The sequence below is a fragment of the Homo sapiens genome, chromosome X, assembly GCF_000001405.40.
Source record: "Homo sapiens chromosome X, GRCh38.p14 Primary Assembly".
In the NCBI taxonomy this organism is placed as follows: Eukaryota; Metazoa; Chordata; class Mammalia; order Primates; family Hominidae; genus Homo; species Homo sapiens.
Genome location: NC_000023.11, coordinates 42956314 through 42958694, shown reverse-complemented (window position 1 = coordinate 42958694; position 2381 = coordinate 42956314).

The following is a 2381-nucleotide window of genomic DNA, read 5'->3' as shown; positions in this document are numbered from 1 at the left end:
AAATTGATGTTCATTAAGTTTCACATGTTAGCAAATATTTTAACATTATGCATACATATTACTGATATCAGTAGTAACCACAATTGCTTTTAAATTACATTTTCTCTCTATTGGAATTATTTATTGTGATTCTTTTTTTTTTTTTTGGTTTGTCAGTTTACCATTTTCCTAAAAACGTTATTCAGAGCTCTTTGCTGATTGTATACTTTTTAAGTTCTTTCATGGCTATGAATGGCTCACAATTTTGTTGATGATGTTTTAGTGCCTTCTGACAATTAGTATTGCAGAAGAAAGTTTTGATGTCAGGCTGACCTTTTAAGATTATTTTACCATAGGTAACTTATTTTCCCCTTGCCTGGATGATTTTACAGTTAAAAAAAATCTTTGCTATATCCTAAGGATTGCTTTTTAAATTTTAAAGCAAGAACTTCTTTTATTAACTCCTTCTATTACATGAGCCACTCTGATCTAAAGCCTCAAGTTTTTCCTCTATTCCTGCTATTAATTTTTGCTTATATCAGTCAGTAACGTGAAAATGGTGGAAATTCTCAAACAGGAAAATTGAGCAGAGTTTAATGATTTGCAATGGTATCGAAAAGGTTAAAGGAAACCAAAGGGATGGTTAAGAACCTAGAACAAAATAGCCGGGGATCTATTACCACCCATGGATCTGAAAGGGTTGAGAAAAGTAGTCTTCAGGACTTGGAAAGTGCTGTAGACCACAGCCGTGTTATTGTGTCTGTGAGAGGGCTATGTGCAGGAACTGCAACCTTCCCTAGGGGAATGTAGGCAGTTAACTATGGCCAACTGGAGAAATCTGGGGCTTGCACTCCTCGTACGCTCCCATCTCCTGTGACTGCTTCTCATAGACTGAACCAAGCATCTAGTCCCTTGAAACCATTTATACAGGTCAGCTTCATGGGACAAAGAGCAGGCTGGGAAAGGGCTGAGTGGATCTAAAGGAGAAAACAAGATGTTTTCCTGAAATTCTTATGACATTTAGTCTGCATCATCTGATTTTTTTGGAAAATATATTAGAAAAACATGCACATATTTTTATCTATAAGCTTTATTGCTTCATCCCTTCAGTCGTCATTTTCCTAATTGTTCTGAGAGAACTTTTTTTTTTGCATTTTTCAATCTACTCTTTACTGCTTCCATTACATGTTTAAATTTAGTAATCTTAGTTTTTATTTGAATGCTGTCTTTCCTAATGTTATATGATTTTTTTTCCAATGGGTGTAGAATTTCAAGAAATCTTATTGAAATGCAAATAAGACTTTTTAACTGTTAACTTTTCTTGGCATAAAGCTGTTTCACATAGATAAACTTATTCTGAATCCCCAAATGGCCCTTTTATTTTGTTTAGATGTTCAGAGCATTTTTCAAAAGTCCAATAGTATTTTTGTAGCCTCAGCTTTACTGAGGAGACTCCAACTTCTTCAAATTCTGAAATTTGAGATGATTCTGTGTCAAAATTCAAATCTTTTATTCCCAGAAAATGGGAATATAAAGGTGTTCCTGTTTGCTATAGCAATATTTTGTTACAGGTTGAATTAAATTGTCCACATGAATGGGGAGTGAGCCATGGAGAGAAAAGCTGCATGACAGGAAAGTTCATTGATTTTCCAAATGGTTTCTTTTCACTGGCTACATATATGAGTTCTGATGGGTGCAGCTCAAACAACTTTGTAGGACTCAGATTGGTTTCAAATAACCTCCCCCACAGACTAGCTCATATACACTGGAGACATGGTGTTCATGGTGTTCATGTGTCAGGACAGAACCACATTTTCCCATGAAGATATTCCTTTCTAGGAAGAAGCCTGGGAACTAGCGTGATGGTTAATTTTATGTGTCAACTTGGCTGGGCCATGGTGCTCAGATACTTGGTCAAACATTATTCTAGATGTTTCTACAAAGGTGTTTTGTGGACAAGATTAACATCTAAATTGGTGGGCTGTGAGTAAAGCAAATTACCCTCCATAATGTTGGTGGGCCTTATCCAATCAATTGAAGGCCTTACTAGAAAAAAGACTGACTTCCTCTAAGCAAGAAAGAGTTCTGCCAGCAGAGAGCACTTTTGGAATCAAACTGCAACTCTTCTCTGTATGTCCAGTCTGTTGGTCTATTCTATCAGGCTTTATATTTACCATGTGCTATGGTCTGAATGTTTGTGAACCCCCTCCTCCCAATTCATATGTCAAAATCCTAACCTTCAAGATGATTATATTAGGAAGCAGGGCCTTTAGGAGGTGATCAGGTCATGAGAGTAGAGCCCAGATGATTTGAATTAGTGCCCTTATAAAGAGGCCTGAGAGCTCTCTTGCCCCTTCCATCATGTGAGGACACAGTGAGAAGGCACCACCTGTGAGCAAGGA